Source organism: Homo sapiens, chromosome 6 (assembly GCF_000001405.40).
Source record: "Homo sapiens chromosome 6, GRCh38.p14 Primary Assembly".
NCBI lineage: Eukaryota > Metazoa > Chordata > Mammalia > Primates > Hominidae > Homo > Homo sapiens.
This window is the reverse complement of record NC_000006.12, coordinates 13,204,034-13,231,329: the sequence shown is the minus strand read 5'-3', so window position 1 is coordinate 13,231,329 and position 27,296 is coordinate 13,204,034. Positions and strand designations below refer to the sequence as shown.

The following is a 27,296-nucleotide window of genomic DNA, read 5'->3' as shown; positions in this document are numbered from 1 at the left end:
TTCTTTCCTTCCTCCCTCCCTCCTTCTCTTTCGCTCTCTCTTTCTCTTTCCTTCTTTCTCTTTCCTTCTTTCTTTCTCTTTCCTTCTTTCTTTCTCTCTTTCCTTCTTTCTTTTCCCTTCCTTCCTTCCTTCTTTCCTTCCTCCCTCCCTCCCTCCTCCTCTTTCGCTCTTTCTCTTTCCTTCTTTCTTTCTCTTTCCTTCTTTCTTTCTCTCTTTCCTTCTTTCTTTTCCCTTCCTTCCTTCTTCCTTCCTTCCTTCCTTCCTTCCTTCCTTCCTTCCTTCCTTTCTCTCTCTCTCTCTTTCTTTCTTTCCTTCTCTCTCTCTCTCTCTCTGTCACCTGGGCTGGAGTGCAGTGGCACAATAATGGCTCACTGCAGCCTTGACCTCCTGTGCTCAAGCCATCCTCTTGCCTTAACCTCCCATGTAGCCGGGACCACAGGCATGTGCCACCACATCTCGCTAATTTTTGATTTTATGTAGAGATGGGGTTTTACTTTGTTGCTCAGGCTGGCCTCAAACTCCTGGGCTCAAACAGTCTGCCCACTTTGGCCACCCAATGTATTAGGACTACCGGTGTGAGCCACCGTGCCTGGCCAGATGATGGAGGCTTTTCTACAGATGATTATTCTCCCTGGAAACCTGCCTCTCAATTTCTCCCTGAACCTTGAATCAAGTGAATTTTCCAAGATTTGGATAAATAAAGGAGAGGGCACTATAGAAACAACCTTGGAGACAAAATGGGATGTTTTCCATTGTCTCTTCCTTTTTTTTTTTTTTTTTTTTTGAGACAGAGTCTTGCTCTGTCACACAGGCTGGGGTGCAATGGTGTGATCTCGGCTCACTGGAACCTACACCTCCCAGATTCAAGCAATCCTCCTGCCTCAGCCTCCCGAGTAGCTGGGACTACAGGCCACCATGCCTGACTAATTTTTGCATTTTTAGTAGAGATGGGGTTTCACCATGTTGGCCAGGCTGGTCTTGAACTCCTGACCTCATGTGATCCACCTGCCTCGGCCTCCCAAAGTGCTGGGATTACAGGCATAAGCTACTGCGCCCGGCCGAGACTGAATTCTTTTGCTAGAACCTGGAGAGCTAAAGGCCCACTGCCAGGGAGGCAGAGGGTGCCGCTGTCCTACCTGGTGAGCTTGGTGCCAATCTGTTGCCTCAGCTCCAGCCGCTCCTCATCCGTCTGCCTGGGAAGGATGTTCTTTTCTTCCAGCTCTCGCTTGGAGGGCCTGTTGCTGAGTTTGATGGCTAAGGAGTCCTTCCTGCAGACCTTCATGGCCAGGGAGCCTGTAGGAGACAGAAATGAGTCAATTAAGGCTTACATATCTGCCTGGGCTCCCACAGGGCCAACCCTGGGTCATAAGATACAAGGCAGGAAGGAAGTCATCAAGGTTTTAACACCTGAAAGTGGTTAATGCCTCAGTTCCTAGAGTTCCTGCCATTGCCACACACTCTACCCCTAGCACTGTGTGGGGCACATGGACAGCACATGGGGAACCTGTGATTGGGTCTCTGCTCTCCAGGAATGTCTAGCACGCAGGCAACATCACAAAGGAGGGCAGGACTGGCTGTGGGGTGCAGTGGACTGCAAAGGGGGAGATAGGACAGAGGCTTTTAGCAACTAGGGGAAGTTTCACGAGGAGGAGGGGCTGACACCTGAAGCAGAGATGAGAGTCCAACAGGCAGCAGGTGGGCGGGGATCTGTGTCTGCAGAAGTTCAGCGGTGAAGGCTACACCAGGAAATCTCAAGAGACAGAAAAGATCAACTACACTGGAGCTGGGGGGACGTGAAGGAGAAAAAAGGTAGGCGGACAAAGTGGGGCTGGTTGGGGGTGGGAGTGGAGGTGAGGGCTTTGAAACACGCAATATCCTGGGATGGGTTTTTTCTTTTCAACCCCAGCATTTCTGAGCAGCTGAGGCAGGGCTTCCCTACATCTGATATAAATCAGTGGTTCTCAACCAGTGGTGATTTTGCTCCCCAGGGAACACCTGGCAAAATCCCAAGGCATTTTTTGGTTGTCAAAACTAAGGTGGCAGGCAGAGGGTGCTACTGGCATCTAGCGGACAGAGGCCAGGGATGCCTGTAAACATCCCACAGTGTACAGGACGGCCCCACACCAAAGAATTATCTGGTCCCAAATGCCGGGAGTGCTGAGGTTGAGAAACCTCTGTATAAAACATTTAATTCTCTGGATACTGAACAGCAAACAGGGGCTGAGCAGCTGCTCCTTCCATTCATGGATCATTGAGGTCTCTGGCTGCCCTGTGTGGTTCTTTCCTTGACATCACTTGGATCCCTTCATAGCTCACCAGGTCTTACTTGGAGCCAGCTATTTGAAGCCTGGTAAGTAGAGAGCGAGAGAAAACGCCAGCAGGCAACAAGTCTGAGGATGGCTTTGGGCTTGATTGAGTAGTGCTTTTCTTCTTTCTTCCTCCACTAGTTTTAGAACATGAGCTTCAGAATGTGACAGAGCCCGCATCAAACCCCAGCGTTGCCCCTTAGCAGACGTGAGGCCCTGGGCCAGCGCCTTGTCTCTCCATTTTCTGCCCTTATCTGTAAAATGAGGCAATAGTGTCCATGCCTCAGGGTTGTTGTGAGATGTAGGTGAGAGATTAAAACCGTAGCCCATTGTCAGGCACACAGTACATGTTCAATGCATGGTTGCTATTCTCATAAGTTCATTTATTAAAAAGTTGGCCAAATATCAGGCTGTACTCACGTAACTAAAATTTATTTACTGTTCATGGCCAGAGTGATAGGTTTTGAACTTTGCTTTCTTCATTTCTTCTCTTGTCTCTTAGCACATTTAAAGGTCATAAATAAGAAATTTAAATTGAGGCCTTCTAAAGTTGCTGAGGTATGCTTAAAAAGTGAATTTGTTGCATACACAGTGAGTAGTATTTGAGTGTTTGCTAGACAGGGACAGAGTTTTAAACTTCTTAAAGTTTTTTTTGGGTGGGGGAGAAGTTGCATCCTAAGAGAAGCAACAAAGAAGCCACTTAAAGAGGTAGGAGGTGGCAGTAATTTTTAGAGCTAGGAGGGAATTTAAGGAGGGCATTTAGAGGACATTTACCCTCTCCTCTTACTGATGTAGGAACTGAGGCCCCAACAGGTAGACTAAGCTGCCCTACGACCCAGGACCAGTCAACACCAGAGCAGGGATTAGAACCCAGACTGCTGGGCTGCTGGGTCCACTCTCTGCTGTCTTTCCACAATAGCATGCTTCCCCACCCCTGGTGATGAGTTAAGATGAACGCACTGGTGTATAATGAGCTGTCGTCGTCTTCGTCCTCCTCCTCTTCCTCCTCTTCTCTTGTATACAGGCAAGAAGAGTCTTCGTAGTCTGACTCATGAGGCACATTTTCTTTATTGTCATCACATTCAATCACAACAGTTGGCACTTGTCTTATTTCTGGAAGGCCCATAGGTCCTGCTTTGGTGACCCCATCACCCGAGTGCAACCCAGAGCTGTGGTAAGAAGTGGAACAGGGGACCCGCTGCTCAGAGCTGTTTAAAGACAAGGAGGAAAGAGGAAATTCACTTTGGCTAACGTGCTATATAAATGCATCAAAACCATTTTAAAACTCAGTTGCCCAGTCCTAAGAGACAAAGGGTCTACTGGGCAAGTAAAGTTCCATTGCTCATCTTACAGGGAATCACTTTAAGACGGCACGGTGTCCTGATGGGAATAGTGGCTAAGATGGCACGGTTTCCTGATGGGAATAGTGGTTAAGATGGCATGGTTTCCTGATGGGAATAGTGGCGTGGGATAGGAAATAATAAATCCGGCTCCTCGTGGGTGGTGTGATGGTTGCACAATGATGTGAACGTACTTAATGCCATTGAACTGTATGCTTTAGAATGGTTAAGATGGCAAATTTTATGTTATCTGTATTTACCATAATTAAAAAAAATTAAAAGCAAGGGTAAAGGATTAATTTGATAGTGAAGCTACAGATTCAGGAGAGAAAGATAATAATTGAGGTTCTAGTTTTCTAAAGCTACACAGGGCGACTAATAGGGACTGAGTGTGTGAAAGACTGAAATGCTGTGGCTGGAGATGCTGAGAAAGGGAAGAGCGGGATGGACACAAGGCTGGAGACCCATGCATGACATTGTTAGCGATGACCTAGAGAAAGTTCTCTCCCACAGGGAGCCACAGGTAATGCCAGTCTGGATATTTTGCAGGTCAGTTTTCTAAGAGGCATCGAGGATGATGTTTTTGGTTCTACCTCTTAAGTTGAACCAACTTGGATCAAATATCTTTGTTAACTAAAAAAGCTATACTGCTGGGCGTGGTGGCTCATGCCTGTAATCTCAGCACTTTGGGAGGCCGAGGCAGGTGGATCACGGGGTCAAGAGATCGAGACCATCCTGGCCAACATGGTGAAACCTTCTCTCTACTAAAAATACAAAAATTAGCTGGGTGTGGTGGCACGCACCTGTAGTCTCAGCTACTTGGGAGGGTGAGGCAGGAGAATCGCTTGAGCCTGGGAGGCAGAGGTTGCAGTGAGCCAAGATCGTGTCACTGCACTCCAGCCTGGCAACAGAGCGAGACTCCATCTCAAAAAAAAAAAAAAAAATCTATACAAGTTTGTTGTTCGAAAGTTACTACATGCGTGTCATCAAAAATAAAATAATTATTTTCTTAATCCTCTAGCTGAGGATTATGTAGTAACTTAGAACCCTTTTTTATGACAGGCTTTGCATGAAATCTAGTAAGAATCATAGAATATGAAGCCAGAAACCATAGTTAAATTTTATAATTCTTTTTCAGATTAACTGGAAGTGGAATTTATATCTTTCATTTAAGGAATTTCTAAATACAGGAAACTCAATGCATTTTACCATCCAAAAGTGTTTGACATGCCTAAGGAAATGGAGCATGAGGTTATATTATATATCAGTAAGTCCTACATTTGAATATTTTATCCAAAAGAAATCTGACTTATGACATATGAATGCATGCCTCTCCTTTGAAACTTTCAATTACGCTTTAAATTATTGCTATGCCTAATGTAAATTCAATTAACTTCCTTCCTTCCATTGTTTGCAAAGAGCTGTTTTTCTCTTTGTATTTTTCACAGAACTCTTCAGTGACACAAATGGAAAAATCTAGTTAACACATTATGAGCTATGATGTTCAAGGCAATGAACTAAATCAACTTAAAAAAAAGCCAACTACTGAATAGGATTAAATCACGTATTTACAAAATGCAGCATCTTATTAGTGGTTTATCACATTAGTGGTTTACGTTGGTCCATTTCCCACCTAATTGAATACAAATGACAATGGGAGCAGGAGGGTGAAGTACACGATAGATGGCCTCCAGGGTGGCGAAGGGTGATGAAAGTGGGGCTGGGGACTTGGTGCCCACCCTGCAAAGCAGCCCTTTTATCAGTGACAGCCACTCCATTCCAACTGCGCTTGGATTTCCACATTGGGTATTATAGGAAGTAAGGATGGAAGAGGCCAAAAAATGTAATTCCATGGCTCATGTTTTGCCTGAATCCTGTCTTTTCCTCTCTCCACTTTTTGGTTAATTAGCAATGGTTCCTATAAAGGCACAGAGCTGGGGATAACGGCAGCCGGGAGCTGGGGATGAAAGCAGTCAATAGATTCTTGTTTGGTGGGAAGAATCTTTTAAGGAAAAAAGTTGGAAACTAGAGAGTATGAGTTCCTTAAGGTAGAAGGCTCCAAGTTGATTCAAGAAGATAAAGAAGAGAGAAAAATGCAAAGGAAGATAAGAAACTCCACCACATAGGTAGTGTGTAATCAACAAGAGGCTGTGGTTTCCTCTCTTTCAAAGATACATGGGCAGCGAGAGACCTTCTTGCATAGGATGGGATTAAATGGAGGACAGCTGGCTACTTTGAAAGGTACCAGGTACCATGCTACTGGGTTTGTCAAATAGGGATTGGTCAGGTGGCCAATGACTGCCTGTTGGGGCACTAGAGAAACAGCTAAAGACTTCTGGGGCCAATCAGGTCATCTTCTTGATGTGTGAACCCTAGCATGTGCTTGAATGCCTAATTTTCCTTAAGACTGAAGGAGGTAGTTTTCCATGAAGCTAGGTGAATCCACCAAAAGAATTGTAAAACATTCTATTAATAAATATCCACTGAATGCCAACTATGCATCAGGAAGAGTCCTGAGAAGAAGACAAATGCCCCGATAAATCCACCCCTTTTGTAACTATGGAGAACCACAGGAGAGCAAGAAAAGAAAGGAGAGTATAGAAGTTAGCTGAAAAGGAGGCTGGGAAGGTTAATATGTGGCCTCAGTTTGGGGAGTCCAGACAGATCTGAGTCCACGTTTTGCCACTTACTCTCTTCTTGACATTGGCCAAATTGTAGGGCTGGTGCATGTGAAGTCGCCTGTTGACACGGCCTCAGATGAGACCCTCACTGGTTATTGACAGACATGGCCTTCCAAGTGGTTTCACAGCAGGCTCAGTTTCAGTCCAGTCTCCAGAGCTGTCGGAGCGGCTTTCTAAAACTCGGATCTAAGAGCCTCACCCATGAGAACTTTGAATGCCTCTCAAGTCTACAAAACTACTGCTCTAGGAGTGATGCAAATGAAAATTCAGTTAACGCATCATGAACTGTACTATTTGAGGCAAAGAACCAAATCAACTCAAATGCAGCATCTTATGACACGTGGCCTGTGCCCTGCTGCTGACAGACACCCAGCAGAACATCAGTCACTGTAGCACGAGTTTTTTTTATAACATAGTTATTACCTACATCTGCTCTAAATACAGGCTCTCATTCCGAAAGGAAGGTGAAAACCATTAGCCTGCAAACAGTAGCTTAAACATAATGTCACGTGCCTGCCACACCCTACATAATTTGGCCCAAATTATTAACCCAGACTCATTCCCACTTCTTTACTTCTGTCTCCAAACAACTGACCCCTTGATCACCTGCAACTATGCATTCAATGCTCTTGGCCTGGAATGTGTTCCCAAACCATCTTCACCTCATTCATTCCTATTTCTCTCTCAATACTTGTCTCAGTCAGTGCCTTGCCTGTGTTTATGGGAGAGAGTCCTCAAGGGTGAAAACCATGATCATCTGTTTGCTTACTATCTTCTCTTCACCACCCAAGGCTGTAGGCTCCTTGTCGGGCAGAAGCCACATCTTCTGTTTGTATCTGGTTCCTATTACTATGCTTAGTGCCTAGTATCGTGCCTGACACAAAGTAGATGCTCAGTAATTGTCTATTGCTTTAGCCGAATGAAATAAATATGGGCTGGAATGACTGACATTTAGATATATTTGTAAGCAGTCAGCAAAACATGTTCAAAAGGCATTAACTAAGGGGTTTTTTTTAATTTTCAGGGAGGCATCTAGTGGTGTGCTGCAGGGATGTGGTGCTCTGGACTTGGTTAGCATCTTTATCAATGGCAATGACAAAAAGGGCATCCTCAATGAATAACTGAAAGAGTTGAAGGAGAGAAGGAAAGAAGGGAGAGTGAATAGAGAGAACATTTACTAAATGTGTAATTTTCACACACAGTGTTGCATTTCACCTTTCCAGCAACCGTATGGGACAGGTGCTGTTCTCCCCATTTTATGAAGCAGGAAATTGAAGCTCTGAAAGGGTAATGAATAGGCCCACAAGGACACAGTTGGTAAAGGAAGGGCTTGAAATTTGAACCTACTGTATTACAAATTCTGCATGCAAAAGTTGAACTGTGATACTTATGAGATGTGTCCTTTGATAAAACACACACCTGACTAAATGTACCCAGGCAAGATGGAGGAAATATCATACCTTGTCAACAACGTGTGTAAAAAATGGGCATCATTATTTATAACTATTTTAAGTCCTACTAACTAGGGTAGGTAATAGTATTCTACCCTGCCATGACCAGGCCACTCCTGGGGCACTGAGTTTAATACTCAGGGCGTTCAGGAGACCCATCTATTCACCGATTCACCTTGGCTGCTTTTGCACCAAAATAGAAGAGTGGAGTAGTTGCAATAGAGCTGAAAATATTTACTATCTATCTGGTTCCTTAAAGAAAAAATTTTCTGTGCCCTGATCTGAACCAGTGTTTTCTAAACCTTGATTATACTCCCACCTCCTTAATCTTTTTTGTGTATGGCATCTTTGAAGTCCATTTACACTATTATTTACTTTGTAATTTTTTAAGTCAGTACGGTATTTTTTAAAAATTTAAACACTATTGTAACCTCATCCTAAGCAAATGATATCTTTGTAATAACAGGTTTTGTATGTAAATCATATAGGTTTATAACATGTTAAGATATATTTTTATATTTGTAATACATATATTTTCAATATTGATATATGCATAAGTACATACAATATTCAATAAAATATTAAAACTAATAAAAGGTTGTCCTAAACTCATTTTCTGTACCACCAATGATGCAGATATCACAGTTTGGTTAAATGTTGCTCTAGACCAGGCTTTTTCGACACAGGCATGACTGACATTTTGGGCCAGATAATTCATTGCTTTGAGGGTTGTCCTGTGCATTGTAGTACACTTAGCAGTACCCCTGGCCTCTGCCCACCAGATGCCAGCAGCACTTCCTCCAACTGTGACAGCCAAAACAATCTTCAGACATTGCCAAATGTCCTCTGGGGGACAGGGGGACAAAAATCATCCCAGATTAGGAGCCACTGGCCTAGAGCATCCACAGTGGCTTTGCTGCTTGCTGCATTCTCAGCACTGTACCATGTGAGTCTCTTCAAAAGCCACTTAGGTATTAATTATCAGGAATCTGCAGCATTCGCTGAATGATGAAGAACTGTCCAGATCCTCTCATGTGAGTTCCTGACTTATCAGGTGTGAGGCTGGCATTCTGGGGGCTGCAACAAGATGCTGATGCTCGTGGGGTTCTACTTACTCAGTTACTTGCACTCCTGCCTTCAGTTCCTGAGCTGTTAGTTACCCCATGAATGCAAGAGCTCCAGGCTGACGCTTGAGTGAAACAGGTTTTCTCATTCTTTGCCCAGATCAGTGATTTACTGAATGACACTCAGTGGTCTGAGAGAGTCACATCTTCCAGAGTACCTATCAACAGGAACTGCTGACTCGTGTAATAAAATCTATTCTAGATCACTCACATCAACATTCTTTGGCATTAAGCATTTAGTTGGCTTCAAATTCAAATGGACTTCATTGCACATGGGTTGTGTTCACCCTCCCTCTTCCTAAGGGCTAACTAGCTTCTAAAACCGCAGGTAAACATGAGGAATCTCATCCTAACCTCCGAGATGGAGTCTTTGTTCATTCTTTTTTTTTTTTTGAGATGGAGTCTCACTCTGTCACCCAGGCTGGAGTGCAGTGGCGTGATCTCGGCTCACTGCAACCTCCGCCTCCTGGATTCAAGCAATTCTCTGCCTCAGCCTCCCAGGTGGCTGGGATTACAGGTGCCCACCACCACACCTGGCTAATTATTATATTTTTAGTAGAGGCAGGGTTTCACCATCTTGGCCAGGCTGGTCTTGAATTCCCAACCTTGTGATCCACCTGCCTTGGCCTCCCAAAGTGCTGGGATTAGAGGCGTGAGCCACCGTGCCCGGCCACCTTTGTTCATTCTAACTGGATTATTACAGATGATGATGGAAGTTAACATTTCTAAATGCTCACACTGTCCCACGTGTTGATTCACTTAAGCCTCACAAGGATCCTAAGAGATAGGTACTATTGTGATCTTCCCGTTTTAGATGGGAAAATGCAAAGGCACGTGGCCAAGGTCACACAACCAGAGGGGTGCAGACACTGAATTCAGGCCATCAGACTACAGGACCTGATCTACTGATGTCACTATACCACTGCCTATGTAGAAGTAGTGGTCCCCCAATGGTTGCAAACTTTAATCTTCTTCCAGACCCTCCCCCTCCCCACCCACCCAGTCCACCCTCTATTCTGCTGTCAAACTGGTCTGATCATGTAATTCTCCTAATCAAAAGAGCCAGGAAAGGCCTCATTGTAAACTGGATCAACTCCACCCTCTACAGCATGGATTAAGAGGTGCCTCACGATCTGACCCTCCAACTCCTTTCAATCTCATTTGTTATTATTCCTTACCATCTTCCTAGGGTTCCAGCCATATCAGACCACTTGCCATTGCCCAAGTACCCTGTGGACTTCCCTGCCTCCTCCCTCTGCTCCTGCAGTTGCTCCGCCCCAGAACTCACCCTTCAGATTTTGGCCTAGAGAGAGCATCCTGCCTATCTTTCAGGGATGACTCAAATCTCATTTCATTTGAGCATCCTTTTCTGATTTTTCCAATGGAAATCAGTCCCTTCTCTGCACATCCATAGCCTCTGTTCCCAGCTTTGTTATAGCATCTGCCACATTATGTTATAATTACAGGCTAAGCATTTACCCCCCACGCCAATTAACTGTGAGCCTCTCCAAGACAGAGGCTGATGATCTTCCTGCCTCTACCTCTACATTGCACATGTGTTTGGAACTGATGGATAAGTTGATCAAATATTTGAATTGAAGTCACACACAATCAGAATACACCACATTACATTTTCAATTACTTAATTTGCTAAAATTAGGATCCCTGACCCTTAGATAGAGTCTTGCTGTTGTAGGGAAATTATCTTTGTGAAAGGAGCATTAGGATTTTTGGAAATAGTGCTCTAGAGGTCTTTTTCCTAAGAAGACAACTCAAGGAGCTAAGGCACAGAGATCTATGCAAGCAAGAGCACATTGGTACCGTGTGGCCTTCATTCCAGGACTGTGTCTGCACAGAAGAGGTAACAGAGAGAGCTTATGATATTCCAGTTTCCAATTCTATACTCACAGGCCGTCAGCCCACTTTAATTCAGACTGTCCAAAGTTAGGCTGCTTTGTAAGGTGACGTCATTAAGCTTGATGAGATCTATATGGTTTCCTCTTATACTAACATTCTATAATGAATTTAAACAAAGACCAAAGGCCTTAAATTATTTTCCAAGGGAAAAACAGATGAATTTCTGCTCCCTATCACCTAGGTAGCACCAAATAATGTCATTTTCTTGACAAATGTAATAGGGATGAACATGCAGAAACTGAACAGCATTCCATGATATTCACAAGATGTTGGACAGATAGATGCACCATTTCGGAATATTTCCACACAATGTCTTAAAGATACCAGCGGGTTCCACAGCTCAGGATGAAGGAGCAGGAGCATCTTTCAAAACCACCACATGGCTACCGCAGATGGTCCTTTAGTGCCCTATGAAAGCGTGTTGTAAATGTTCATCATCTCATTTAATCACCACAAAAACTTGCAGAGTTAAGAAGGGTATTGTTATTATCTTGATTGTTTATGAATGGGGACATGAGGTTTCTGAGAACACAGTGATCACTCGGCAGTGATCACAGCAGGATGTGAACTCAGGTCTTCCCACCCAGGGCCTGTGTTCTTTCCATGAACCATGTTGCTTTCTCCTGGAGAATCAGCAAAGCCCATCATTTTTTCTGTAGATGTATATGCTGACTATGAAATGCAATTTATACCGCAAATTTTAAAAACCGTGGACTATAATATTTTTATAACAAAAAGCAAGGATAACAGATGTTCACACAATCCAGCTACTCTCTTGCTATGAATTTTGCTGTGAAGAGTCCCATGATGAGCGCTATTATGGAACACACAGGGAGGGGGTTTGAATTCTAGACTTGGGGATACAAGTTTTGTGTGAGTAGCACATGGCTGGGGGTGAGTAGGTGTGCGGAGAGAATAGGCGACAAGAGGAAGGACAGAATAATTACCAGGCTGGATAATCCAGCCTTGCACAACGGAGCGCTGCTGATAAAAAGGGGTCGTGCAGTGGGTTTTGTATCTGTTGTGGCCACTTTAATAACACGTCTCCTTGAGGATAGAGAGGCATCACCACCACGCTCCTCCCATGACCCTGCATGATGGTTCTTCAGTGCCCCGTCCCTGCCCGACATCACATTACACATTCACAGGCTTATTACCTGTCGCTCCCACTAACGAGTAAGCTCACAAGGATGAGGACTTTGTTTCATCCTCATTTTCCCCTAGAGGATGGAACAGCTTAAATGAACAGAAAATAATGAACAGAAGTATCCCTAAAACAGAAGCCTTGCTATTTACACAAGAAACACTGAAAAGAGACATATTTGGAAAGCTTGAGAGGAAAATGGCAGTCCCGAGTCAATAAAAGGCACACATTTAAAACTGCCTTCCTCTCATCACATCTACAGGATGCCTTAGGGAGGTGAAAAGCTGTACTCTATTCCCTTGGTCTTGTTCCCACCAAGAATGACCTTTACCAAGCCTTCTTTTTGGAAAACTCGACTCTTCTCTTTAACTCTGTTAAACTAAGTAGGAGATGCATAGGTTGAGAGCCCGGGTAGATAACCATTTCTGCCTCCTTTCCCTTTTTCTACCTTTTCTCTTCTCTTCTCTTCTCTTCTCTTCTCTTCTCTTCTCTTCTCTTCTCTTCTCTTCTCTTTCCTCCTCCTCCTCCTCCTCTTTTTCTCCTCCTCCTCCTCCTTCTTCTTCTTCTCCTCCTCCTTCTTCTTCTTCTTCTTTTTAAATAGCTCATTGCAACCTTGGACCTTTGGGCTCAAGCAATCCTCCCACCTCAGCCTCCTGAGTAGCTTGTACTAACAGGTGTCACCATACCTGGCTAATTTTTTGATTTTTTTTGTAGAGATGGGGTCTCGCTATGTTGGCCAGACTGGTCTCAAACTCCTGGGCTCCCAAAGTTGTTAGGATTACAGGAGTGAGCCACCGTGCCTGGCCTTTTCCCACCATTTCAATGGCCGAATATTTTTAAGGGATCTCTAGACTTCAAAAATGAAGACACTGACTTATCTTTCATGTTCATTACTGGATAAGGGTAAGGCCCAGACTTTACTTTCAGTCTTTCATACAGGAATGAATGCCAAGACATCTACAGTGAGTCTGGGTCATTATAAGAGGCACTCCCTTTTCAAGGGGGCTTTGTAATCATCACTTTATCTCCATTCCACGGTACAGGCTGATGAGTAGGAAATCACTGTGACCCATCCATGGGAGGGGAATTACTGGCCGGCAAACACCTTTGAAACTCTTGTAGGGAATCAAGGGCAGGTCATAAAATTGAAAATCACTGTCTCTTTTAAATCCTTAATCTTTCTCTAAAATAGGTGGGATCCATTTCACCATCATTTCTAAAGAAAAACATGTAATAAAGGGAATATTGCTTTCTGATATCTGATTTTAAATGCATCCACTGTTAAAAAAAAGAAAGACATTAATCTCCTCAAAGGACAGAGAAAATTTATTATCTACAAATATGACACTGAAAGCCAAATTAAACTTCAACAGGAACAGCTTTTGTAATTTAGTCTGCACAAGTTATGAAGAGAGTTTTCAGAGGGGAGAGAGAATAATCAGCCACTTTCCTCTTGGAGACCAAAAATGTGTGAGAAATTATGCTGCAAATTGCAGTGCCTGAGGCTGAAAAATAGCAGAAATAACCAATGTAGCCTAAGAAAATAGTTAATCAGCTTCTTTTTAAGAAAGCAGGCATACATTGTGTGGTTTATCATGGCCTAGGATTAGCCTTCTAAGATAAGACATGTAACATTAAAGCTTTTGTTTTTTGTTGAACTTTAGTCAGCAGGAAACTATGCTGTTCTATATATAGACGAGGGTACTGAGCCTTCCTGAATAGAAAATGTATTTTGAGTTTTTTTTTTCAGCAGTGGTAATGGATTTAAATTAATTTGTTCACAGCCTCTGTCCTTTCAGGGACCAATGACCCACATTTCTGAAATATTATCTGGGATTGGGATGTGATGAACAAAACCATAAGACACACAGAGTCTGACCAAGAGCCCATCCCTCCCAGCACTCTCTATTTCTGATGGAGAAACCAGTGGTGGCTTTTCTACTTGACTTTGTCCCTAGACGCTGGTGAGTGTTCTAGCATGCTTGGCTGAGCATGGGTACTAAAAAGGCAGGACAGAGAGTCAGCAGAATGGTGCGAGTCCCAGCTGGGCCATTGCTAACCTTGTCTCTTGGTGTTTGGCTCTTCATCAGTTAAATGGAGAAACCTAGGTGCCCACCTCCCAGGCAGCTGCGAAATTAGAAGACAATGCTGGTGCAGTGTGCTTCCTGGACAACAATGCTGAGAGTTGCCGTTTTAACTAGGAGTACATGTCAACACCAACAATTTATCATAAATTAGTCATTATAGATATTACCCACTAATTTATTAAAATATTTCCTTTAGTGTTTTAATATTTTTGATCTGCAAAACTTTCTGGACGATGGTTTCCAAGAAGATCAAAGAGTCAATATTTGTGCATTGGAAAAGGGCAGTATTTCTATTGAAGCAAAAAAAATCAAAAGCAGATTCCCTTTCTTTTGAAAATACACTTCCTTTTTTTAATCCTCTTAAGTCTTAAAAAGGTGTTAATGGTTTGTACAGTTTCATTTTAACTTCCTTAAAGTTAAGCAACTTAGGAAATTGCTTAGACAATTTCCTTGCCAACCTTATAGGGAAAGATGGGTCTTGCTCATAATGACATTACTTTGCACTAAAACCACATCATGTACCTTGGAATAGCAGTTAAATCTGAAAAACAACATGTACGTGTAGGCAATTAAAGATGATAAATATAGGCTTTAAAATCAAAGAACTGACCTAAAGTAAGAGATTGACAGTGCTGGCTTCCAAGGGGCAAGGACAAATGTCTAGCTGGAATTGTGTGAGATTTTGAAGAGATGATCATCACCATAAGAAGAGAATCTTTCCCTGGAAACATATTTCATTTAACAATGTAGGCCATTTGTTATGTCATGAAGAAACACGGAACTACAAAGCAACACCACTTCACAAGCAAACAACACCTAGGTGTTCAGAGTTTCATTCTTGCTGAGGCACTGATTCATATCTGTGTATTGTCAGGGAACACCCTAATTAGCAGGTGAAACATTACAGACATAAGCCAATACAATAATTATTTAGACTGTTAAGGCTAAAAGAAACCCTAGGGATCATCTAGTTTAGGAGGAAGAATTATTCTTTAGAATTTCCTGTGACCCTTGAGGCAACATGAAGAAAAGTAATTGTAACCATGAAATGTATTTACCCAAGGATTATAAATTGTATTGTGCTCTTTGAAAGGCCTAAAAATAATCATGGGATAATAGAATTCTAGAGCTTGGAGGGATTTGAGGGTCTACTGATTTCAATTTCTTCTGTCCAATGTAAAAATGATTCCTTTTTCAATATTCTTGACAAATTCATCTCTAGCTAATATGTAAATGTAAAAAGGGGACATTATAAGAAATAATAAACTATTCGTATAAACTTATCAGTTATAATTTTAAAGGAAAGATTGCTTTGTTACTCTGTGCCTATCACAATGCTTGGCATGCAGTGATCAATGGGTGTTGCTAAGAGTTCAAGACGACTCTGGAACTTTCCTGCATCTAGTTGATCATCCAGATTGGACTGGCTTATCCATGTTAACACAGATGTACATTGACTATGCCAGCAGAGGTAAAGCCATTCTACTTCTCCAAAATTTCACATTACAGTTAACCTACTTCAATATATCTAATCTGCAGTTAGAGTTGGATATGTCCTTAGCAGCTGATCCGACCTGTATGGTTTTTCTTTACATAAGTACATGAGTAAACCATTTGGGACTCCTATTAGCCTGATTTTTCTTAAAAAATATTCAGTGTCCTCTCTGTTGGCTCTTGGGTTCTTCCTTATATCTGATTACAATGTTACGTCATCAATCTCATTCTCTATGCTATGTCTTCTAAAAACCTGGAAAACAAATGCCAACTCCCTTTTCTTATCAAAAACCTCATTCTCTATCTGGAGACAGTATATCACCCCTTCCTCTAATCTGCCTAAATGTTCTCTCATTCCCATTCTCCTCTCCATCTGGTTATTCCTCTCTTTTAGCTTTTAGTTTAAATGCAGTTCTTCAGAGAAGACAACTCCGAATTTCATAGACCAGTTGACATTCCTGTTGCACATTCTTCTCCCTCCCTGCACTCTCATGGGTACTGATCTGTCCAGTCTATACTCCCAGCAGGTTCTAACCTGCACTGAGGGTTATCTTCTGTATTTTGTTCACTGTTACATCCCCAGTGCCAAGCACGGAGCCTGGTCTAGAAAATGTACTCAGCAAAGAATTGGTGGATCTTCCATTTGCTAAGCAAACACAGGTACCATCCTTTCTTTTTGCAGGGCCTGTTTTCATTCAAGGTTTACAAGTCAGTAATTGCCTGAAATTTTTTCCTGGCAAATGTCAGTGCTTTCTTCATTTAGCTGCTCAGGGACTTTGGGACAGGAAGAGGTAGATAAAGAATGAATTTATTAGAAACGTATTTATTTTTTCATTTTTAAGGCCCATAGGTGGCAATTTCCATCAGAACTAAATGTATGGTACTTAAAATTTTCCTAAACTAAAACTCACTGGGTGTAAAGAAGGCATCATTAAAAATATCTATTGATATTTTGCATCAGTTGATAGCATGCATGAATGATACTAGTAACAAAAACTCATTCATATTTAGCCTTTTTAGATCAAACTCAGAGATTTCAATTATTCTTCCCATGTGAACTCACCTGGTCTACCAACACACTCCTTCCTCTAATCCGTCTAGAATGTACCCGCATTGCCTTTCTCCTCCTTACATGATTGCTCCTATTTTTCAGGTCTCAGCGTAAAATTCTGGAAGTTAACTTTCAGGTTTAGTCTAAGGACACTGGATAGAGCTGAACTATCAAATACGATTCCCTACACCTTAGCGATCTTAGCATCCCTACCTTAGCTAAGGATGATGACCCCTCTCCCATTTTATCATTCATGAAGGATTTGCTCCAAGAGAATTAATAAGAAGGGACGATGTACTTCAATGATGGCTAAAGTTCATAATCAAAATTATAGTATCTGGAGCTCTAGTTTGATATTATCAGGCATGACAAGTAAAGATCTAGATTTAATTTTAAGGGAGGAACTTTGTACGTTGTTTCTAACATCAAACACAACACAACAGGAATGGCCCAACAGGGGAAGCAGGAGTGGATCCTCAGCAAAAGCCTGTTTCTTTTCTTGCTTTTTTTTTTTTCAGGGGAAAGCGCAAGCACAGTCCCCCACTACCACAAATTATGCAGTCGAGTTTCCCACATTTGGGAAAATCGCAGGGGTCAGCATATCCGGAGTGCGATGGATAAGCCTCGCCCTGGGAAAACCACCTTCGTGATCATGGTATCTCCACTGCCAGGTAAGTATGCAAAAGCCTGTTTCTATAATTGAGACAGTTTGTAACAAAACATTGATCATAAAAGTAAGATATTTTTCTATTTCAAAGATTAGAGTAACTTTTAATGAAACCCACTCCATAAATAGTTTCAGAATACTTCCTACATGACAGGTACTATGGCAGATTGTGGCCCATTTGTGCTGCTATAATAAAATACCCAAGACTGGGTAATTTAAGAAGAACAGAAATGTATTTCCTCACAGTTGTCGGGGCTGGAAAGTCCAAGATCAAGGCGCTGGCAGGTTTGGCTGTCTGGTGAGGGCTGCAGCCTCTGGCTGGGAGAAACGCGGCACGCTCACATGGTGGAAGGCCAAGAGGGCTTTATGCTGCTGTGTGAAGTCCAGTTCACAAGGGTCTTAATGTCGTTCATGAGGGAGGAGCCCTCATGGCCTAATCACCTTTTCAAAGCCCCACTTGTTAATACTAAGACATTGGCCATTAAGTTTCAACTCCTGAATTTTGGAGGAGAGACACTCAAACCATAGCAAATGGGGAGACAAGGATGGTTCCCATCCACATTAAAGAGAGAATATACAGAGAAACACATAACCTGTTGCAAGTATGCAAAAGGGGTGTGTGCAGGAGGGCAGAGCTCTGTATGGGAATCTGAGAAGGGATCACAGAGGACCTGGTATTTTAATGTCTTGAAGAACAAGAATTTTTCTTTGTGAAAGAAGCTGCTCTGGGTGGTAGAGGACAGGATGTAAGAGAGTGCATTCCAAACAGAGGGAACAGTTCAAATTGTTAGAATAAAGAAAATATAAAAGGTTAAAGACCACTAATACTGCTTAATATTTATATAACATATGCCTTGTGAGAACTCAATCCATCAATAGGAAGCAGATTAATAAGTGAAAGAATATCACTGCAGCTATGAGAGGCTCTCCATTCATTCAGTTATTCTTTCACTCACTCACTCACTCACTCACTCACTCAAACCTATAAGCCAGGCCCTGTTGTAGGCACTCTGGATACAGCCATGAACAAAACAGTTCCTGCCCTTGTGGACTGTATGTTCTATTAGGTGAGAAGAGCAACAAACCGAATGAAAGGCAAATGACACAAAACGTTAGATGGTGAAAAATGCTTTGATAGGAATAAAAGGAGCTGGGGAACAGGCTGTGTTGCGAGGAGGGTTGCAATATTGAACGGGAAGGGCCTCATTGAGGATGTGACATTTGAGTAGAGACCCGAGGCAGGTGAGTGTAGGAGCCCTGAGGATATTTGAGGGAAGGGCAGTCCGTCCAGGGGAACAGCCAGTGCCAAGGCCCCGTCAGGAGGTGTCCGGCACGTCCGAGAATGTCCGAGAATGTGCGAGAATGGTGGGAAGGCCGCTGTGTGAGGGAGGAGGGAGCAACAGAGAGGGGAGCTGATGAAGCGAGGGAGACCACAGGGGCAGTCCGTTAATACTCAGGTTTCAACCCTGAATTTTGGAGAAGAGACGCTCAAACCATAGCAGATGAGGAGACAAGGATGGTTCCTGTCCACATTAAAGACAGAATATAGAGAGAAACACATAACCTGATGCAAGTATGCAAAAGGGGTGTGTGCAGGAGGGCAGAGATCTGTACCAGAATCTGAGAAGGGGTCACAGAGGACCTGGTATTTTAATAATGTCTTGAAGAGTAAGTAGATTTTTCTTTGCAAAAGAACTTGGAGTGGGTGTGGGCTTCTGGGCCATGGGGAGGATTTTGCTTTTTACTCTTAGTGAGTTGGACAGCGACAGAAGCATTTTGGGCACAGACATTGTTAAGAGCTGAGCAGTGTCCCCAGATAAATTCATATGTTGAAGTCCTAAGTCCCAGTGCCTCAGAATGTGACTGTATTTGGAAGTAGGGTCTTTAAAGAGGTGAGGGAGTTACAATGATGTCAGTGGTGTGGGCCCTAATCCACTATCACTGGTGTCCTTATAAGCAGAGATGAGGAACAACCACACACAGAGGGAAGACCACGTGAGGACACAGAGAGAAGACACCACCTACAAGCCAAGAAGAGAGTCCCCAGGAGAAACCAACCCTGTTGGCACCTTGATCTCGGACTTCTAGCGTCCAGAACTGAAAGACAATAAATTTCTGTCATCTAAGTCACGCATTGTGTGTGTGTGTGTGTTTTTAAATGGCAGTCCTTGCAGACAAAGACAGTCACGATCTGACTTTCCTCAAACCCTGTCTCTTTTGCTGTTGTAGTGGGGATGGGCTGCAGAGCAGGTGTGGACACAGAAGAACAGGTGGGAGAAACTGCAGTAAGCCAGGCAAGGCCGACTGAGGCTCAGGCAGGAGAAGAAGGAGCATGTAGAAGTGTTGGTCTTATCCCTGTGTATGTACAGTGTGGACCAGACAGGATTTGCGGACAGTCAGATGTGGGGAACCAGAGAAAGGAAGGGGTCAAGGGTGACTCCAGGTCTTTGGCATGAGCGACTGAAAGTGTGAAGTTGCCTTTAATTGAGAAGGGAAAGACTTCTTTAAAGTGCATTCCATTAAGAATCTTCCTAAAATTCCTTCAGGGTCCACATGGATCCACATTCCACCTTCATTTTACTAATAGGAGACTGGAACACAGAGATCAGCCGAATTAAGATCAGAAAGAAACGGCGTCCTGATTAGGACTTTACATCTGACTTCTAGGATTGATGCCAACTAGATCACGGAGCTTACTGCAGATATTAAAAATAAAAACACTGCATCATCTTTGAAATGATAACAAAGGCATAAAAATGATATAATGGACTTTGGGGACTCAGGGGGAGGGGTGGGAGGCTGGTGAGGGATAAAAGACTACACACTGGGTACAGTGTACACTGCTCGGGTGATGGGTGCACCCAAACCTCAGAAATCACCACTAAAGAACTTATCCATGTAACCAAAAACCACCTGTTTCCCAAAAACGATTGAAATAAAAATAAAAATAAACAAATAAAAAGTTGTTCCACAACAGGGTCACTAAATAATCATGAATTCAACTCTTTAATGACTTTAAGAAAAGCTTGTTTCTTAAGAACAAGAGTAAAGGCTAGCAAAGATTTAAGTACAAAAATGGGGAAAAAATGCAGTGTTATTTATTAGAATGGAAAGTTGAGGGGAAATCTCAATGCAAAAAAAAAAAAAAAAAAAAAAGAAATGATAAACCATCATCTTCCAAAAGATGTGGCTCACCAGGGTGAGGGGAATGAAGATAATCTAATTTGAGGAAACTTACCCAAACAAACAGACTTACCCAAACCATTCTAGGGTCACTGAAGACAAATTTTCCATGCTGGCTAATGTTCAATACCATTTGCTTACTGTGTGACATGCAATAACCCCACTGATTTGGATTCATTAAATAATCTGATCCTTACAAATGACCCTAATGAGGCTGCTGGCATTATGATTATTTTTATTTTACAGATAAGGCATGAAAATCAAAAAGAGGTTGAGCCATACGCTTTGGGTCACACAGCTAATACGTGGTGTGTCTAAGACTCAAACTCCGGCAGTTAATTCTGGAACCCACACACTTTGTCCTGAAGTAGGGGTGTGTGATGCCACCAGCTCGGACCCCACTGCCTAGGGCAACCCTGTGATTTTGAATAAATATGACCCTTTAAATTTGCTTCAAGTGGATTCTAGCTCCTTCCCCCAAATCTTGTGAGCCAAAGCTGTAAATAACCACGCCATTGTTTAGTGCCATCAAGCAGGCTTAGGCAAGGTAGTGTCTAAGAACTTCTCTGCAGGTGTGTGCCATGGCTTACACCTGTAATGCCAGAAATTTGGGAGGCTGAGGCAGGATGATCACTTTAGACTATGAGTTCGATGCCAGTTTGGGCAACATGGCAAAACCCCATCTCTACAAAAACTATAATAAAAAAAAATTAACTGGGCATGGTGGCGTGCACCCGTGATCCCAGCTACTCAGGAGGCTGAGGTGGGAGAATTGCTTGAGCCTGGAAGGTCGAGACCGCAGAGAGACATGATCATGCCACTGCACTACAGCCTGGGTGCCAGAGTGAGATGCTGTCTCAAAAATAAAAAATATAAATAAAAAGTAACTTCTCCATATAAATCAGAGCAGATTTGGTATAATCTCAGGGGAACACGAACAAGATGGTATAAGATCTAGAGAAGTCCTTAAATGAAGGGAATGGTAGCTATCTTCAAAGATTTAAAAGCCTTTTACAGGAAAGGAAGATTAGAAATAAGATCGGGAAGGGGCAGATACAAATTTCAGTAAGTAAAACTTTTAATAGAGAGGGAACTTTCTAACAGTCAGACCTTCTTGACAATGAAGCAGGCTATGTTGGGACCTGGGGAACGTCCTGTTGGAGCAGAGACCAGAGGATAAATGGTCAGGAACACTGCTGTGAGCAGGGGCTTGGTGGCCTGGATGGTCTTCAAGGCCCCTTTCATTGATAAGATGACTTGTGCAAATGTATGGTCCAGTGTCAGGCATTGATGCTGTTTAATTCACCATTCAACTTTGTATATTACCTATAACTTTTTCATCAGGATCAGACTGTCCATCTGGACCGATGGCCTATGGTGTGACATTCTTTGAGATTTCAGGGGGCAGCAATGGCCCAAACAGGGGGTCGGTCCAAGGAACTTTAAAGGCAGGATGCCTGAGTGTTTGGTAATGCCTCTCCCTTCTTGCAGAGTTTTTTGGGGTCACTGGAAATTGCCAGGAGGATAGAGAAATGATTCTTTCTTTCTGTATAAAACTTGGTTAGAACAAGAATGAAATCATGTTGACAGGCAACAGGGAGAATTTTTAGGCAGTAAAAATCAGGGGGAAATCACCCAAGACAGCTGGTGATTCCCTCCCTACACTGAAAAGTGTGGCCTGTGACCTTGGCCTATTTTGAGATTCTTCCTGGAGATGACTGGAGACACACAGAAAAATCTCTCCAATCTTTGTTTGGGAAGAGGGCCTCTGGGATGGTCTTTGTTTGGGAAGAGGGCCTCTCTTTCTCTGGGGTGGCAATCTTGTCAAACTGATGCATGCATTAATCTCTGCAGCCTGGTTGGTCTGTTAGGACAACCCTATGCTTTGACCTCGAGTGGGAAGTGAGGGAGAAAGAAGGAGGAAATGACTCTGAGTTGGGACAAAGCGCAGAGACTGCCTTGGCTCTGCTGCCGAGATCATGCTGCATACCCTGCCCCCACCAAAATTCCCTTATCCGACTAGATCTACCCATTGGTCTAAATTAAACTGAAATATCCCGCAAATACCCACAGATATTATAAAACTTGTCAGTTAGCATCTTTAATTGAACCTTTTAATATGGTGTTTTTTTTAAGTGGAAGCATATTTAGCAATATACTATTAACATGCTATCCAAGTATCTTTTCTGATGATTGACGCTCATGAGAGATATGAAAACTTAGTGGGTGCATGTAGACATGGGGTTGGGGGGGTGGGCAGCAATGACGTTGGCTGCTACATGTCCTTAGGAAGCAGCTGTGTGTTAGTACAAAGATCTCTGGACTTGGAGAGGGAAGACCCAGGCTGGAGGCTTAGCCTCTCAACTTACTACCTAGGGTAGTGTTTTCCAAACATCTACAGGGAAGAAACAGTTCTTACTGTTTAGTTCTTTCCATTTTCGATCCATCACAAACTGATGCTTTTGTAAAATATAATACAAATGTAAAAATAATGAAGCCCTTTTTAATGACAAGATTCAACAGACATGAAATTATTCTGTCATATTGCTGTAAGAGTATCTAAAACTTGTTCTCAATGTCTGCACTTACGTGGTTGCAGATGTGAGATAAGCCATTTGTGGGCCACCCTTTGAGAAGGTGGCTTTGGGGAACTTAGTGAACCTCCCTTAGTTTCTCCATCTACTCCGTTTCCGTAGATGATGTGAGGATTAAATAAGATGACAATGACAGTGATGACAATGTGTATGTGTAATAGATTAAAACGTGCCAGCCACATTTTAAATTATTATTGTTCTAATTAATAACAAGAATAGTTGCCAATGACAGCAAGGGGCCAAATTAAGTTTTGTTTTTTTCCTTTTGCAGCAAGGGCAGGTGTTAACACCAAACAATCAAGTCAGAATTCCTAGACACAGCAACCTCCCAGTGAATCACTCCTTTCCCAAATGCAGAATACTCAGCTGACAGGCAGGAGCAGAGAAAGCCACCGAGAGTCAGGAAAACACAACCCGAAGCTCCCGCCTGTGCATCTCGCTTTTAGCTCTCTGGTGATTCGCTGGGACCTCCATACTGCCATTTTCCATCTGTAGGACCCAATGACCAGCAGCCACTACTATGGGACAAGCATTCAGCTCACAGTCAGAGATACCCTTTGCACCTCATAATCATACTTTCTCCTTGTTACACCAGGGCACTCAGTCAAGCAATGTGCCTCAGAGCCCCAGTGGGAAATCCCAGTGCCTTCTTGGATGTGAGGTAGGTGGCGGTGTTTGAATACACACACACACACACACATACACTCATGTGTGTATACACAATCAAGAGTAATTGAGAACCAGTTTGAGAGATCTCCCTATGTGGTGAGGAGTTAGGGTCGTGGCTGCAGGCCTGCCTGTGGGGTCATCTTTGCAGCTCTCCCCGAAGAGCGACTGGAGGCATATTCTGGTGAAAGAGGGAGCTGCCTTGGTAGTGGCCAAATATTAGCCTCACAAGTGCACATAATCAGAGCCTGGGACTCTGCTTCCTCCATCAGCAAGAACAGGGTATACCTTCCCACCTTCCCCAGCCCTCTTGTTTCCCTCCAACACCTGCCAGTCCTCATCTTTTCTTATTTCATATTTTAATTCTTTTGAGTATCATAAAAGTAATATACACAGAATTAAAAAGTACTATAGAAAGATATGAAATATAAAAGTATTTTCTCCCCATTTCACCACACCAGGAATAAATGCTATTAATGACTACGTATACATTTTTCCACAAAACATTAATGCTTATAGAGACACAATATGTGCGTGCATGTGCGTGTGCATGTGTGCATGCATGTGTGTGTGTGTACATGTGTATGTGCGTACACTCACACGTATGCAAAGATGGATATACAGCAGGTCCTTGAATAAGGTCATTTCATTCAATGTCATTTTGCCATAACATTGATGAGAAAAAAAAAACAAACTGATTCCCAGCTGGGGCCATCGTCTGTGTGGAGTCTGCACGTTCTCCCCACGACTGCATGGGTTTTCTCCGTGTACTCAGGTTTCCTCTCACATCCCTAAGATGTATATGTCAGGTGAAATGGCATGTCTACACTGTCCTAGGTCTGAGTGAGTGTGGGTGTGGGTGTGGGTGTAAGTGTGCCCTGTGAGGGGATGATGTCTGACCAGGGCCAGATCTTGCCTTGTGCCTTGGGCTGCTAGGACATGCTCTGGCTAGCCACCACCCGGAACTGGAATAATTGGGTAATCATCTTCTTTGTTTTTATTAACCTTTCTTAAATGTATGTACAGCTCACATTTATTTCAATGTTTAATATTAGAAGTGTTGTGGTCTTTATTTAGAAGTTTGGTGATATTTTTGTGACCAGAAATATGCTATAGGAACTTAAGTCTTGTTTATATCAATTAGTCTATGGTTAAGTTGGTTTTGTTAGATTTTATTTTACTGAAGTTGCAATTTTCACGAACCTACTAATGACACTGAGGACTGTGTGTATATATAAGCATATACATATATACATGAATGTTAGTTTTTCTTTCCGATAAATGTGATTATTCCAGAGCTTTTCAATTGGCAACATTTTTTTTTTCCATGCTTTGACCTTCAGTTTTTTGTCTCATTTTACTTTCAAACATTTTCCCCCAGTGGGGATGACCCCTTGTTCACATTCCTAAGTCATGGTCCAAATCCCTAGGCCCCCCTCCCCAGCCAACCCCTCTCCTCCCGTCCTCCCTCCTGGTGCCCACCTTTACCTTTCCAGCCTCTGCATGGTCATGGCCAGCGTTTTGTTGAGCTCGTCTATCATTCTGCAGCCCGAGGGGTGCATGGGGAGGGAGCCGGTGGTGGAGGGGAGGTGCTGGCCGTGGCTGCCGTACTGCAGCTGGTGCTGGATCTGGGAGGGCAGGACAGTGTGGTGGTGCTGGGCCACACCCTGCTGGCCACTCTTCTGGGCTGTGTAGGACACCAGTGAGAGGTCTGGCCCCCCCACGGGCATACAGATCATGACTTTCTTTGGAGGTAGCGGAGGCGACAGTTTCACTGGCAGACAAGGCAATTTCACAGGGGCGCCAGGATCTGTGGCAGAAAGAGGGCGAGAGGCAGATGTGAGTTTGGGGGCATCAGAAGAAACTCAGAACACCAGATGCGCTCACCTGGAGACTGTGGCCAATGAGTTGAGCCTCTTAGGTAAAATGCGTCAGTTGGAGGCACCAGCGTGATGAGTGCTACTCAGCAAGTATCCATTGACTCTTGTTTCCTACTCCAAGTGCACTTGCACTGGCCATAAGGGCCTTCAGGAACCCAGACATTAGTGGTGTCTAATGCACAGTATGTCAGAGACTTGGGAGCGGCCCAGATAGTGAGGCAGGAGGAAGGAGGCATGTGATGAGCTCTTCTGCTCATGGACACCCATGGACTGTCAAGGAAACCTTTGCTAGGATACGCCAAACTATGGTTTGGATGCAGTTTGTCCCTGCAAAAACTCATGGTGAAATATAATTGTCAATGTAAGGATGTCGGGAGGTGGAACCTTTAACAGGTGGGGCCTAGTGGGAGGCATTTGGGTCACGGGTGTGGATCCCTCATGAATAGATTAGTGGTGGGTGTGAGCGAGTTCGAGCTCTCCCAGGAACGGACTAGTTCCCAAGGAAGAGTGGGTTGTTAAGAAGAGTCTGGGTTCCTCAGTTTCTCTCCTTTGCTTCCTCTCTTGCCATGTGCTCTCTGCACACACCAGCTCCCCTTCTGCTTTCCTCCATAGGTGGAAGCAGCCAGAGGCCCTCACCAGAAGCACCATGTTTCTCATACTTCCCAGTCTGCAGAACTGTGAGCTAAAGAAATCTCTTTTCTTCACAAATTACCTGGCCTCAGGTATTGTTACAGCAACACAAAACAGACCAAGACATGCTAGTCTACAATATATGTCTACAATTTTGCCATTATGATGTGAACAGATCCTTTCAAAGCTGGAACTTCCCAACAGGCATGGGATTTAAAGCCAGCCCTAGGGTCAAGTCCACCAACAGCATGCCACTCTGCAAGTGCCTTTACTGCTGCCAACCTTAATTCCCTCTTCCATCACCTAGGGACGACCATCCTGCTTTGAGAGGATGCTTTGTGAAGATTAGTTTTTGCAGATCCTGGCTTGGGTGCACGAGTGGGGCAGGAGTGAGAGTGACTGCTGGACTGGTGGGCCCACTCAAGTGTGGGCTACTGAAACAGTAAGGAGGCTCCCACAGGGGATTCCAGGCTGCTGGAACCTACCTAGGACCAACTGCTGGGTTCCATGACAATGCCATTGAGCTTCCTAGAGATGCTCCACATTTGAGGGGCTCAGGGTCAGACTAGACCCCAGGGCATTTCTGGGAAGATGTAGCCTGCTGCCATACCCCACATTTCTGGAGGGGAACCTGGTTGAACCCTGTGGGTTGTAGGCTTGCCTGGGAGAAGCATGGTCTGGAACAGCACAGCAGGGAGGAGTAGGGAGTCTCAATGCCCCACTGGCACCCCGTGTTGGGGAGCACCACGCAGTTCTGACTCTCCATCTCGGAGGCCATAGATTCTTCTCTAATGATCTATCTGCCTTGAACGTGGCCTTCCTCCAGTCTAACTTACAGTCCTGCCAAAATGACATTCCTAGAGCACAAATCTGATTACGTAGCTCCCCAGTTTAAAACCCATCCATGGACTAAACCTTCCTGATACATCATTCAAGGCCTTCCATGGGCTGGCTCCTGCTTGGTTCATCTCTTCATGTCCACATTGTACCTCTATAAAGTCTGCTCTGGTTCCCCCAGTTGGAAATAACCTTACCTATGGCACCTGAAAAGCTGGAGCAGAATCTCTCCTATGGCCCAGAT

General features: G+C 43.5%; 1 protein-coding gene, 1 long non-coding RNA gene and 1 pseudogene across 22 annotated transcripts in view, besides 3 other annotated features; 1 reads left to right on the top strand and 2 right to left on the bottom strand.

Moving 5' to 3' along the window:
• Positions 1–27,296, bottom strand: part of PHACTR1 (phosphatase and actin regulator 1) — a 571,071-nt gene that overhangs the window by 56,508 nt on the left and 487,267 nt on the right. For all 20 annotated transcript variants that reach the window (XM_005248934.4, NM_030948.6, XM_047418373.1 and 17 more), the window contains 3 exons: positions 25,194–25,515; positions 3,267–3,514; positions 1,137–1,293 (listed from right to left, as the gene is read on the bottom strand). In XM_005248934.4, the coding sequence (XP_005248991.1) occupies positions 1,137–1,293; positions 3,267–3,514; positions 25,194–25,515 (727 nt within the window). The remainder of the gene's footprint in view (positions 1–1,136; positions 1,294–3,266; positions 3,515–25,193; positions 25,516–27,296) is intronic.
• On the top strand, positions 1,357–8,369 carry LOC105374933 (uncharacterized). Of its 2 annotated transcripts, XR_007059456.1 has the most exons (4): positions 1,357–1,809; positions 2,211–4,169; positions 4,785–4,913; positions 7,352–8,369. It is a non-coding gene; the product is annotated as an uncharacterized LOC105374933 (long non-coding RNA). The 2 variants fall into 2 exon arrangements; XR_007059455.1 differs by lacking the exon at positions 1,357–1,809 and having other exon boundaries at positions 3,513–4,913.
• Positions 1,739–1,828: a silencer, noted in NCBI's record as "silent region_16925". NCBI's record gives its function as "represses an Ori minimal core promoter by ATAC-STARR-seq in GM12878 lymphoblastoid cells {active_cell/tissue: GM12878}" and the evidence as "EXISTENCE:reporter gene assay evidence [ECO:0000049][PMID:35858748]".
• Positions 1,999–2,058: an enhancer, noted in NCBI's record as "active region_24020". NCBI's record gives its function as "activates an Ori minimal core promoter by ATAC-STARR-seq in GM12878 lymphoblastoid cells {active_cell/tissue: GM12878}" and the evidence as "EXISTENCE:reporter gene assay evidence [ECO:0000049][PMID:35858748]".
• Positions 13,547–13,747: a silencer, noted in NCBI's record as "peak5664 fragment used in MPRA reporter construct". NCBI's record gives its function as "represses an SCP1 promoter by STARR-seq MPRAs in K562 erythroleukemia cells {active_cell/tissue: K562}" and the evidence as "EXISTENCE:reporter gene assay evidence [ECO:0000049][PMID:32103011]".
• On the bottom strand, positions 17,075–17,290 carry RNU1-11P (RNA, U1 small nuclear 11, pseudogene; annotated as a pseudogene).